We start from the raw sequence: 13,605 nt of genomic DNA, 5'->3' as shown, positions 1-13,605 counted from the left end.
TTTATTCCAGGAATACAAAAGTGATTTAATATTCTAAAATCAATCAAGGTAATTCATCACATTAGTAGGAAAAAATAAGATCATAAAATCATATTGATATATACATAAAAATGATGAGTTGATAGATACATAAAAATGGTGACTTCAGAAAATGTGGTTTCAAGAAGTAACATCAGATTCATTTTTCTTTCCTCCCTTGGAGTTCTGTCTGTCCAGTCTAGATTGATTTGTAGAAGAGAACTGCAGTCTGTTCCACGCCTAGCCTGAGCCATGGCCTGTACTGCCTGTTATGTTGTAAGACCCTCTGATTTCCAGGACCCTCTGGCTTTGGATTTTGGTCCCCATCTTTGGGTCTGCATGTTTTTTACTGATATTTCAACCTGCAAGACAAAAAAGAAGGAGGCCGGTAAACAGGTATTATTTAACATAATTATTGACATATGTAATATAATTACTATGTCGGACACTCTGGTAGGTTCTGGAGGGACAAATATGAACCCAAGTTCTGGAAGTCTAAGTAACTCATCGAAATTCCCACTGCTGGTAAATGACAGAGCTGATATGTGAACCAGTCAGTCTGGCTTTGGAATTCATACTCTTACTCATTCTGTCACTAACTCTACATGACCAACCATAATACTAGGCATTAAGTGTCAAATAGACATAAGTTACACAGGCTGTGAAAGCACAAAGAAAAGACATCAATTCTGGCTAGGGGTGGGTTGGTTCTGGAAGGCTTTTAAAGAAAGAGGATTTAAGCTGATACTTAAAGATTTGTAACTGGCAGAAAATGAGAATGTATTACTCAGGATAATTTAGATTATGCTGTGGTAACACAGATTTAACCCAACAAGGGTTTATCTCTCTTAAGAAAATGCTAAGTCAAGTTGGGCAGTGTCCAGGGCCCTCCCTTGATGTCTTGACTCAACTCTCTAGGCTGCTACCATTTATGGTTTCTCATTCCATTACATGTGCTCCATCACTGTGCAGGGGAAGAGAGAAAAACATGGAGAATTGGTACTCACCCTTCAAGACTTCAGCCTGAAAACCCACACAACACTTCTGCTCATGGCCCAGTAATTCTAACTCAGAGAACATGGGCTATTTGGCAAGAAGTTGTTGCTTCTGCCCCAGAGAAAAGGAGCATTCCAGGCTGAGGAACAAGCACGTGCAAAGGCATGAATGGGTAAAACTGCATGGCATGCCAAGGGAGAGCAAATAAATCCAGGACACAATAGGTCTTCGATGTCATTCATAGACAAATGGAAGCTCTCATGGAGAAGCAGCAGAGTTTGCCTTGTTTTGCAAAATTATAGATGGTTTTAGATGTGCAAAATTATAGATGCAAAAAGGAGGGTATGCAGTTGTAGCCATGCCCTTGGACTTCGCAGCCTCCATAATCGTGAGCCAAATAAGCTTCTTTTCTTTGTAAATTGCCCAGTCTCGGGTATTCTGTTAGAGCAACAGAAAATGGACTAAGACAAATAATCAAGAAATACTTCCTAGAGGAAGTGAACTTGGAAGGGAACCCATGGTACGGCCAAGTAGAGAAAAAGGAGGAGTAAACCTTTCTGTATCAGAGGAAATAATCATGCAGGAGAGAGCACAGTTCAGGCAGAGGCAATGAGGAAAAGTAAGAGAATATGGTCACTAGAAGCACTATAGATGAGTCTCTTGTACTTAGACACTGCAATCCTAATTGCACAGGAGCTCAAAAGGGACAGCAATCATAGGATGGTCCTGTGGTTTGAAGGTGACTCCCAAAAGTTTGTGTGTTTGAAACTTAGTTGATAATGTATACAATTTGGTGAAGGCAAGAGAATATGATTCCAAGATTTCCTACCTCTCTGCCAAGCCAATGGTGGTAGTCAGTATTTAAAACAGGAAACACAAAAGAAAGCAGCCTGTTTTGAAAGAGAAAAACTTGTTTGTGCCGTGCTCTGGAACATATACACAGAAATGTGTAGCAGCCAACTGGAAATAACAGCCTCAAGCTCTGGGGTGAGGAGAGGCATCCCAGGATGAAGGTACAACAGAAGCAAAGGAATGGAGACAGGAAATATCAGGGTATACAGGAGACCTACAGTAAGAATGAAGGTCATTCCTCACCCATTTACTCTGCCCTTGCCGCCCTCCTCAGAGTTATTTCCCGCTGCCTGCTACACATCTGCACCTGGAGGGCCCCTCAAACGCAATCAACTCTTTGGCTCCTATCAACCAAATCCAGAGCCATCCATCCATACTGCTCTGTCTTCATTGAACTGTTTCAATCTTGCAGTATCTATTTTTCTGCCATTAATCATAATTTTTTTTTTTTTTGAGACGGAGTCTTGCTCCGTCGCCCAGGCTGGAGTTCAGTGGCGCGATCTTGCTCATTGCAAGCTCCGCTTCCCAGGTTCACGCCATTCTCCTGCCTCAGCCTCCCAAGTAGCTGGGACTACAGGCACCCACCAACACGCCCGGCTAATTTTTTTGTATTGTATTTTCAGTAGAGACAGGGTTTCACCATGTCAGCCAGGATGGTCTCGATCTCCTGACCTCGTGATCTGCCTGCCTCGGCCTCCCAACGTGCTGGGATTACAGGCGTGAGCCACCGTGTCTGGCTGCCATTAATCATAATTCTATGCACCATTGTATGAGCCCTCAGTTCACAAAGTCCTTTTAACATATATGCACGTAGCCGTCCTCAGAATGAGACCACTGGTTTTTCTAGCCTCAGTGAAGCTGAAAAATAGATGATGTCAGCTGTGTGACACTGGACCAGTTAACTGACCTCTCTGAACCTTAGTATTTTCATCCACTAAGGAAAAAAACATCTAATATCTGCCCTATCTATTTAAAAGGGTGCTTGTGATCAAATGAAAATAATGAATATGAAACAGTTATATAATCCCTAAGGCAATATAGGAACAGTGACAATAGGGTGGGAGTGGTAGTGATAGATGTTATCATTGTCACAATATGCCTTCTAGGGACCAGACAGTAAAGACACATAAGAAAAACTCAGTTAGACAACCTAATGCAAAGAGTGAGATTTAATTGAATACTTTTTATGAATCCAGTGGCATGACTGCTACAAATAAACAACATAATCTTTGTCCTCTGGGAGCTGAGGTGGTAAAGTATATAGAGAGAGATGACCAATACACAGCACAGAATAAAAATGTGTCTCATGTGAAGCATACAGATCCTAATTGCACAGGAGCTGAAAAGGGACTGTGATCACAGGATGCTTCTATAGGTTTGAGTGTGTCCCTCAGAAGTCCATGTGTTGGAAACTTAGTTGCTAATGTAACAGTATTGAGAGGTGGGGCCTTTTAAAAGGGAATTAGGTAATAAGGGTAGAGCCCCATAAGTGGATTAATGCTGTTTGTGAGTGAGATCATTTCCAAGGGACTGAGTTAGTGCCCTGAGGTGTCTTTTGCGTGCACTCACTTGCCCTTCCCCATTTCTGCTGTGTTATAATGCAGTATGAAATCCCTTACCAGGGGCCAGGCATGGTGGTTCACGCCTGTAATCCCAGCACTTTGGAAGGCTGAGGCGGGCAGATCACGAGGTCAGGAGATTGAGACCATCCTGGCTAACACAGTGAATCCCCGTCTCTACTAAAAATACAAAAAATTAGCCAGGCATGGTGGCAGGTGCCTGTAGTCCCAGCTACTAGGGAGGCTGAGGCAGGAGAATGGCGTGAACCCAGGAGGCGGAGCTTGCAGTGAGCTGAAATCAGGCCACTGCACTCCAGCCTGGGTGACAGAGCGAGACTCTGTCTCAAAAAAAAAAAAAAAAAAATCCCTTACCAGAAGCTGTCACCATGCCCTTGGTCTTCCCAGCTTCCATAACCGTGAGCCAAATAAGCTTCTTTTCTTTATAAATTAGCCCATGTCAAGCATTCTGTTATAGCAACAGAAAATGGACTAAGACAGATGGTCAATGAATGCTTCCTAGAGGAAGTGAACTTGGGAAGGAACCCATGATATGGCTAGGTAGACAGGAAGGAGGTGTAGACTAACCTGGATATATCAGAAGAGAGCTGAATCAGAAAAATCCTAATTGCCCCCTCCCTCTCAGGCAGCCTGCTCCTGAAGCTAGGAGGCTCCAATCTTCCCAAGGAGGGAAAGAGTATGGAACAATGTCTTATGCCAACACTAAGGAAAGGGATTTCCTATTTCAATCTCTGTTGCTAAACAAGCATTTGCAGCTGAACCACAATCTCAAGAAATGGGCCAAGATCAGGTGCACAGGGAAGGCTCTGAGGATAGCCTCACCACTCAGCATTCCGGGCACAGCGCCAGTCACTCAGACAGCGTGCAAAACACGGCTGGGGCTCCTTGTGCAAGACTGACTGCAAGCTTTATCTGCATGGACACTTTCTTGGCTCACAGAATTGTTTTGGAACAAAAGCTATTCATTTCAGCTTGATTTGGAGCCACAATCCTTGGCTTTCTGCAGTGTCAGGACTTGGCAGTGTTTCTGGCCACTGGGTCAGCCATGAGGCCAACAGCAGAGAGGGGAGCAAAGACACAACCCCACACTGTACTGGGGGATGCTGAGAGGTGGTCCTGCTCTTCCTGGGATGGCCAGGGGACTGAGGAGCCATGGCTACTGGAGTGATTCTTTTCAGCAGCAGCCAACAGCCCCGTCCTCCCCAGCACACACACACACACACACACACACACACACACACACACACACACACTGTTATGCAGTTTCTGATGACAGGGCTTAAAGCATCCTCGTCCTTTCAGTCATAACTTTTCAGATTATAAATACGGTACTTCATCGGGTAAAATAACCATCTCCTTAGTAGTGAGGCAGAGGGAGCTAACGGTGGATGGCGGAGTTGTACCTACTTTGCCAGTTAGACATTTAAACTTCTCTGATAAAAATGACAGTCACTCCATTTCTTTCCCTTTGTGTTTAAAAAAAAAAATCAATCTCTGAGGAATTTGCAACTACCCCTCAAAGGAGATTAACAGGAGTTATTTCTAAAAGCACAATCAAGAGGGGCTTTCCAGCGATGACGTCTCTGCACAAAGGAGGGATTTTCTGGGAAGAGGGGAGTCTGTGTCTTGAACATTTTTAGGGGTCTTCCCATTAGGGGACAGAATAATTTTCCTCCAACCTTTTCCCCTGTAAACTCACTTAAGGGATTCCTTTTTAAATTGTAATAAATCTCAATTACGAAAAATATGACTGACTCCTTGGGTCCGGAATGGTCTTGGAGAGGTGGTCTTGGTGGGCAAGGTGGCAGGTGACAGGTGCCTGTACTCCACTCACGACGGGAGAAAACCCACCTTGATTTTCAAGCTCCCCAGGAAGGGTGCAGCTGTGGCCTTTCTCCAGGCTACCCCTTCTTCTGTCCAGCGTGCATCCCTTCTGAGCTATCTCCTTTCGTGAGACACATTGAAGACCCCCGGTCCTTCCCCATACCATCACCTCCCCACCCCACCCCACCACTGTTTACCAGAGCACAGCTGCCCAGTTCTCCCAGAATCCTGACTTCTCCACAACTATTTCCTGAGGCCTCAAACAAATGCTACATAAAAGGGTCATCACTGGGCTGGGCACGGTGGCTCACATCTATAATCGTAGCACTTTGGGAGGCCAAAGCGGGTGGATCACCTGAGGTCAGGCGTTCGAGGTCAGCCTGGCCAACATGGCAAAACCCCATCTCTACTAATAATATAAAAATTAGCCAGGCATGGTGGCAGGCACCTGTAATTCCAGCTACTCCAGAGGCTAAGGCAGGAGAATCGCTTGAACCCGGGGGTGGAGGTTGCAGTGAGCCAAGATCGCACCACTTCACTCCATCGGGGGAAAAAAAAAAAAGCATCATCACTGGACTCTCTCTGACCCCATCACAGGCCTAGCGTTGCCCCTCTCAGATTCCAGCTAAGTGAGGTATGACATTGAACATTTTAAAGTACCCAGACAGTCACTGAAAGTATCAGAAAGTGATAGTCTCAATATTCCATCCACCCCATGGTCACGATTTCTTCTCATAGTAAGTGGCTGTCACTCTCTACAAGATTTCAGGGACTGGAATTTTCCTATAATCCAGAGCAAGCTTCCTGGAAGACAATCATAATTATGAGTTTGCTGTGCAGAGATGTAAATAGTGACCCCAAACCACTGTGCTCTTTTTTTTAGTTGGCAACTCACATCCCAACTATAGCACTGCCAGCCACAGTCCAAATGCCCAAGTCTAATATGCCTTGTTAACTGTACCCAGCCTCAGAAACATCCCTCATTTCTATTACATTCTCAATGACCAGTTTAATGTGTCTCCCAGGTTTTTCAGGCCCTGCCTCCAGACACAGAATTGCCTACTGGACATCACCATCTGGCTCTGACCAACAGCTGACACACAATAGATCCAAGCCAAGTTCATGTTCCTCTTCCACCTTTGTCCCAACTCTCCTCCTGGCACCCCATCTGCCCTAAGAACAGCCTCACATCCTCAAGACCTAGAGAAACCACCACCATATCTTTCAGAATGCTTTCTTGACATTCCACCCAGGATAAAGTAAAGGCCCACACTTAAGCACCTCCTTTACCCTCCAGCTGTCTGCATGGCACCTGTGCCATGCCACTGTGTTGATACATGTGGCCATCTCCTACCACTAGACTACAAGTCACTTGAGAACAGGGACTGTGTCCTGAAGTCTGTGTTATGACAGTGTCTAACAATACCTGACACATAGTAGGTGCTCAATAAATGTCTGTCACATGGAGGAGTGAACAAATGATACAAGCAATTCTAAATTCTGCCCAAGCCTCATTAAGATCCTTTCTTCTTGTAGCCCTCGTCTAAGCTCAACTCTCTTCCTGGCACCCCATCTGCTGCAAGAACACCCTCACATCCTCAACTTTTCCTTAAGTCAAATAGGAAAGCATTTTAGAAGTCCAGATGGAAATTTTTTCCACCTCACCCCAGGTGGTCAGGGCTGCCGGAACACAGGAAATGAGAAGCTAGGCTGAAACAAGAGCCCTGCGTGTGCTGGAGGCCACAGCAGTTTGCCCAGCCCTGCTGTTTAGTTCACTATGTGTCACCAGCTAACACCCCCCAGGCAGAGCCGCTGGACAGGGGAATTCTTCATCTCCTTCTACACATTAAAAAAAAAAAAAATCTACCTATGTATTTTTGAGACACTGTTTCATTCTGTCGCCCAGACTGGAGTGCAATGGTGCAATCACAGCTCACTGCAGCCAGGACCTTCTAGACTCAAGCGATCCTCCAACCTTAGCTTCTCGAGTACCTGGGACTACGGGTGTGCACCACCACACCTGGCTAATTTTTTTCTTTTTTTTTTGGAGAGACAGTGTCTCACTCTGTTGCTCAGGCTGTCCTCAAACTCCTGGGCTCCAGCCATCCTCCCTCCTCGGCCTTCCAAAGTGCTGGAATTATAGGCATGAGCCACCATGCCCAGCCTCCACCACATTTTCAACAAGTCCAGGCATCAGAGGTGGGCATCAGCTTGGCTGGTTGGCATCAGCTTGGCTGGTAGACATACCTACACAGGGCTGCATCGAGCCTGGGACATCACAGGAGTGATGACAGGTGTGAAAGCCTCCACAGTCACAGGAGAAGGGCCCTTCTGATCAGCACCACTCCCTCTGACCCCATGAAAAGCTGTCATTTCCTAGGTAACTGGAGTTGCAGACAGCACAGAAAGACCCTGAGTGAATTCTCTTGGCTCAGGGAAGGAAATATATCCCATCCATTCTTCTGGCTTACATTAGAGCCCTCATTTGAACCTAAATCTGACCACTTCACTCACCTGCTCTTTGGGGAAAAATAGCACCACCTCTGTAAGGCATAGACCTTTCCTATCCATCCCTGCCTGCCTGTCCCACCTCACACTCCCCTTGTACTATATGCTCAGTGAACAGCAATCAGCATGCCCTCAGACACACCAGACTCTCATACATCCCTGTACTTCGGCAGGGGCTGCTTCTGCAGGTGGGGTCTTCCTTCCTCTGCCCAGCGGAAGCCTCAGGATCCTCCAAGCTTGAAGGCTCTCTCTTCAGTGATGACTACCCCCACTCTTCAAGTAGAATCGGAAGCTCCCTCTCACCACAGTCTTAATTTTATATTTCTCCTGGCTGGGCACAGTGACTCATGCCTGTAATCGCAGCACTTTGGGAGGCCGAGGCAGGCAGATCACATGAGTTCAGGAGTTTGAGGCCAGCCTGGGCAACAGGGCAAAATCCCATCTCTATTAAAAATACAAAAAAATCTCTATAAAAAAAAAAACAAAAAAAATTAGCCAGGCATGGTAGTGCCTGCCTGTAGTTCCAGCTACTTGGGAGGCTGAGAAGGGAGGATCACTGGAGCCCAGGAGGTCAAGGCTGCAGTGAGCCGAAATCACGCCACTGCACTCCAGCCTGGCCAACAGAGCCAGACTTTGTCTCAAATAATAATAATAATAAAATAAATAATTATGTTTCTACAATTGTAGTGAGACCAGCTTTTCTGTATCATGTCAACAATTCTTCTAGTGTTAGCCCTTACCAGCCTCAGTTTCCTTACCTGTAAAACGGAGATAATAATTGAACTAGCCTGTCGCATGGGTGGGAAGATTGATTCCTGAAAGCGGCTGGTGCCTGGGGAGGTGGGACAGGGTAAGTAAGGTGGACAATACAGGGCTCATTCATGAGCAGCAACCCCCGTGGGCCACCTGAGTTCTGTCCTACTGGGAGCCTCTGGGAGAAACAACATAGAACACCCTCAGAAGAGCCATACCCGGTGGGGAGGAAGCTTGGTACTTTTCATCAAGCAACTGTCTTTCACTATCAGTTGCAGGCTGATCCAGGGGGCATCCACTCCCTGGCACTCTGGCCACATGTGTGGCAGTCATGTTCCTATGGCCAGAGAAAACCCCCTGAGCAGAGAGGCTCGGGCACTTACAGTAGAAGTCCCTGATGTTGGGTGGGATGTCAACACCATCTGATGCCATTCACCTGCAGCTCTGCCATTGGCTGGCTGAGGGAGCTTGGCTCCTCTAGAAAGATGTATTTGGCCGGGCGCAGTGACTCATGCCTGTAATCCCAGCACTTTGGGAGGCCGAAGGGGGCTGATCACTTGAGGTCAGGAGTTCGAGATCAGCCTGGCCAACATAGTGAAACCCCGCCTCTACTAAAAATATAAAAATTAGCCAGGTGTGATGGTGCGCACCTGTAATCCCAGCTACTCGGGAGGCTGAGACAGGAGAATCGCTTGAACCTGGGAGGTGGAGGTTGCAGAGAGCCAAGATCGCACCACTGCACTCCAGCCTGGACAAGAGAGTGAGACTGTCTCAAAAAAAAAAAAAAAAAAGTAGATATATTTGACTGGGGGCACCCTAAGGTACCTTGTGGTGGGCCCAGTCCTCCATCAGCCCACATCCCCCAAGGCTGGGCACTGTTAAGCTGCCCTTGGGTGGGCCATTTAGCCTCAAGGGACTTTGAGGGCAGGGGCCATGCTCGTTTTGCTCATCACTGTGTCCCTGGTACCTCGAGCAGTGCCCAGCAGATGCCAGCCTCCAAGTCCACATTGGCTGCCTGGCTGACAGCACGTGGTGCAGAATGAGGTTATGGCAAAGGAAACCCTGACATTCAGCCTCAAACCCGGCCCCAGGACCCCAAGCAATGGAAGACCATGACCACTGCCTTTGCATCTGTGAGTAGGTTGTGGTGTAAGATACGTTTTAAGATCTATGTATGTAAGATAACGTTTTTAACTTTCAAATATCACACTTCGGATGCAGAAAGGGCAACTTATAGGAGCTTTAAATTCGTAGGTGGTTGTCTGGGTTACCTTATATGACTCGGATCTGGGGTGGGCTGCCTGCACTGCAGTCCGTGGATCTCTGTCTCAGTCTCCAGGCCCAGGACGCAGCTTGGAAACCTAAACGGAATTGTCTTTATCACAACTCACACCAGTCACTTAATGAAATCGAGCTGCACAAATCGACCCAAAGGGGTGCCCTCCACTCCTGCCCCACGTGTCCTCGGACGCTTCCCAGATGTGGTCCCCGGCACTCCAGGGCCCAGGTAAGGGGCCAGGGTTACCTTTTGGAGAAATGCCATCCTCAGCCTGTACTGCCGGCCTTGGTACCGGATTGTCATCTCCTGGCGCCTGGATGGATTCACGGCCAGAGCACCAGTGGGAGACAAGAGGAGAAGCCCCCAAGTTCGAAAGGCAGCCTGGCTCGCCCCAGCCCTGGGTGGTCGACGGGGAGGCGGCTGGGCGGGGAGGGCGCGGGCCGGGCCTCCCTGACCCTCACTAGGCGCCTCCAACTTGGAAAGCAGCTGGAATCCGCGCCAGCCAATCCGCGAGCGACGACGCGGGCTCATTAGCATGCGCTGCGCGGGCGTCCACCTGCCGCCAGGTGGCGCTGTCCGGCCCCCGCCGGGACCCCGCCGAGCGGCAGGTGAGACCCGCAGGGCAGGGCCCCGGGGGGCGGAGGGGTACGGGGGGAAAAGGAGGAGGGAGAGGAGGAGGTGGAGGGAGAGGGGGTGGAGGAGGAGGTGGAGGTGGACGAGGAGGAGGAGGAGCTGCCGGGAGGAGGGAGAGGAGGATGTGTGGCAGAGGGCGAGCCTTAGACCGCACCACTAAGGCCTGGGGAAGTGAAAACAGATGCAACACGCTTTGGCTCCCTGGCTAGCCAGCCCCAAGTCATTGAATGGCACTAAGCAAATTATTCGGGTTTTGCCATTAAAATGGCAAAGCCACAATTACTTTTGCTCCAACCTAATATTTAAACTTTATCAGCGTCAGTTACCCCATCTAACCCGAGAAAAGCAAGTGGGTAGGAAATGACTCCTGTCGATCATGTGCTGTGAGGACTGAATGAATAACTGGGTTAAAGACTGGCAGTGGGGTGTGCTTGGTGGTGAAGAATGCTGCTCACGGGCCAAATGGGCTGGCTCTGAGCCCTGGATTTGCCACCTAGCTGTAGGATCTCAAGCAAGTTATGGAACCTCTCTGGGCTTCCTTTGTCTCATCTGATGAGTGAGAATCACTGCACTCTCCCCAGGGGGTGGGCGGCGGTTTGTTTGGTTCTGGTTTTGGTTTTAAGATTACTGAGCTGATTCATGTACAAGCGCTTAGAACTATGACTGACACTTGGTGAATGTCCAGTAACCAATAGTTTCTCTCCTATGTCTCTTGGGACCTTAAAAAAAACAATTTACTAGGCGTAGTGGTTCCATTATATACATATATACATTATATACATAGTCTGGCATATATATATATATATATGTATATATAATATATACACATATATATATTATTCTGAGAATAATTCTCAGAATTCTCAAAATAATATGAAAACTGTTGGAGTCATAATTGGAGGTAAAATATAATCTCTGGAATCAGATTACTTGGGGTCAAATATCAACTCCATTACTTACTCTCTGTGTGGCTTTGGGCAAGTTACTTAACCCCTCTGTGCTTTGATTTCTGTAAAATGGGGATGGTACAATGATAGGGGACAAAGGAGTAAAGAATCAATAGATACCAGTTGTTGTTACTATTGTCAACATTAAAATCTTTAAAGATAGTTTAAATATGGAATGCTAGCTACATCTCTGGCAGGAGGAGATTTTCCAGGTTTAACATTCAGGATCAGGGACGTTCCCATCTTTTATTTCTAGAGCCAGGTGGCCTGAGCATGGCAGACAAAGCTGATGTCAGATGGAGGCATGTGGGCATTTATCATAAGAGGTATGCTCAGGAGATATGTCTTCAGATCATCTGTGTCTCATTCCCATGGAAGAGCCGCGTTCCCACCAAGCTACAAAGACATCTTAGCTCTAGGTTAGAGTACTGGAATAAAAGTTTCAGAAATGAGACTCTGAAGTCTGGTTGACTCACAGGGAAATTACTAGGCAGAAAGCCATGAGATGTAGCTTCCAGCCCTAGCTTGGCCACAGCCATGGTGAATGACAACGTGGAAACCAGGTTTTCAAATTTAGTTGAATGGGTTCAGCAAAGCAATTTCAAAATCATTTCAACTTTGTATGTATCTGTGATTGGTTCCCATATTCTCTTATTTTGCTAATTTGGGCTTTCTCTCTCTTTTTTCTTTTATTCTTTTTTTTTTTTTTTTTTGAGACGGAGTCTCGCTCTGCAGCCCAGGCTGGATTGCAGTGGCGTGATCTCGGTTCACTGCAAGCTCTGCCTCACGGGTTCATGCCATTCCCCTGCCTCAGCCTCCCAAGTAGCTGGAACTACAGGCGCCCACCACCACACCTAGCTAATTGTTTGTATTTTTAGTAGAGACGGGGTTTCAGCCTGTTAACCAGGATGGTCTTGATCTCCTGACCTCATGATCTGCCCGCCTCGGCCTCCCAAAGTGCTGGAATTACAGGCGTGAGCCACTGCGCCCAGCTTCTTTTATTCTTAATGAGGTTAATTTTTTTATTATTATTATAATGAGATACATGTATTATTTTTCCTTGAGAACCAGGTTTTACTTGAAAGTTAGAACTTTAGGTTGGACATGATGGCTCATGCCTGTAATCTCAGTGCCTTGGGAGGCCGAAGCAGTTGGATCATTTGAGGTCAAGAGTTCAAGACCAGCCTAGCCAACATAGTGAAACCCCATCTCTACTAAAAATACAAAAATTAGCTGGGCAGTAGTGGTGCATGCCTGTAATTCCAGCTACTTGGGAGGCTGAGGCAGGAGAATCACTTGAGCCTGGGAGGCAGAGACCATGGTGAGCCAAAATAGTGCCAGTGCACTCCAGCCTGGGTGACAGAGTGAGATCCTGTCTCAAAAATAAATATAAACACATAAATAAAAGTTAGAACTTTAAAATTATTTTGTCATCAGATATTTATGCAGTTTAGTTAACAAATATGAAGGGGCCCTGTAAACTAGAAATATCTTTAGGTATATAGAGTGACCACTTATGTCAGGTTGCATTTATTGTCCTGAAATAGCTAATGGTGCCCTCTTGCACTCTCAGAAGTGACTATGTTTAGGCTGGGTACAGTGGCTCATGCCTGTCATCCCAGCACTTTAGGAGGTCAAGACAGGTAGATCGCTTGAGCCAAGGTGTTCAAGACTAGCCGGGCAACATAGTAAGACCCTGTCTCTAGTAAAGAAAATTATTTTATAGTTAAAATAAAATAAAATAAAACAAAAAAGCAACTATGTTTTGATGATAACTTATGTGGTCACCCCAATCACATGCTAATTTCCTTCTCTAACAATGACCAAATCAGGCCTCCTTGTTTTCTAGATGAGGGAGACACCCATGTTGTGCTGGAAAGTTAATATGACTAGGACTCGTGACACTTGGATTCTAATCCCAGATCTACTACTGGCTAATTAGGGAGCTTAGACAAGGCACATTACTTCTCCGAGCCACATTCACTGATCAGACTTGTTCAGTGTTTCCCAAGTTTGCTCTAAGATCAATGCTTCTCAACATTTAATGCAAATGTTAGTCTCCTGAGGATCTTGTTAAAGTGCAGATTCTGGCCGGGCACAGTGGCTCACGCCTGTAATCCTAGCATTTTGGGATGCTGAGGCAGGAGGATCACTTGAGGCTGGAAATTCAAGATCAGCCTGGGCAACAAAGTGAGACCTCCCTTTCTATGAAAAAAAT

At 46.7% G+C, this 13,605-nt stretch overlaps 2 long non-coding RNA genes across 2 annotated transcripts in view, besides 1 other annotated feature; one reads left to right on the top strand and one right to left on the bottom strand.

The window, feature by feature from the left end:
• LOC100507002 (uncharacterized) lies at positions 1-10,284 on the bottom strand. The gene is made up of 3 exons (NR_110801.1): positions 10,054-10,284; positions 9,800-9,889; positions 1-380 (listed from the first exon to the last, which is right to left on the bottom strand). It is a non-coding gene; the product is annotated as an uncharacterized LOC100507002 (long non-coding RNA).
• Positions 10,188-10,517: a silencer, noted in NCBI's record as "silent region_8860". NCBI's record gives its function as "represses an Ori minimal core promoter by ATAC-STARR-seq in GM12878 lymphoblastoid cells {active_cell/tissue: GM12878}" and the evidence as "EXISTENCE:reporter gene assay evidence [ECO:0000049][PMID:35858748]".
• Positions 10,384-13,605, top strand: part of LOC105371864 (uncharacterized) — a 22,748-nt gene continuing 19,526 nt past the window's right edge. Inside the window, exon 1 of the long non-coding RNA XR_934923.2 lies at positions 10,384-10,415. This is a non-coding gene — a long non-coding RNA (uncharacterized LOC105371864). The remainder of the gene's footprint in view (positions 10,416-13,605) is intronic.

The sequence above is a fragment of the Homo sapiens genome, chromosome 17 (assembly GCF_000001405.40).
Source record: "Homo sapiens chromosome 17, GRCh38.p14 Primary Assembly".
Classification (NCBI taxonomy): Eukaryota; Metazoa; Chordata; class Mammalia; order Primates; family Hominidae; genus Homo; species Homo sapiens.
This window is presented reverse-complemented; position numbering and strand designations above follow the sequence as displayed.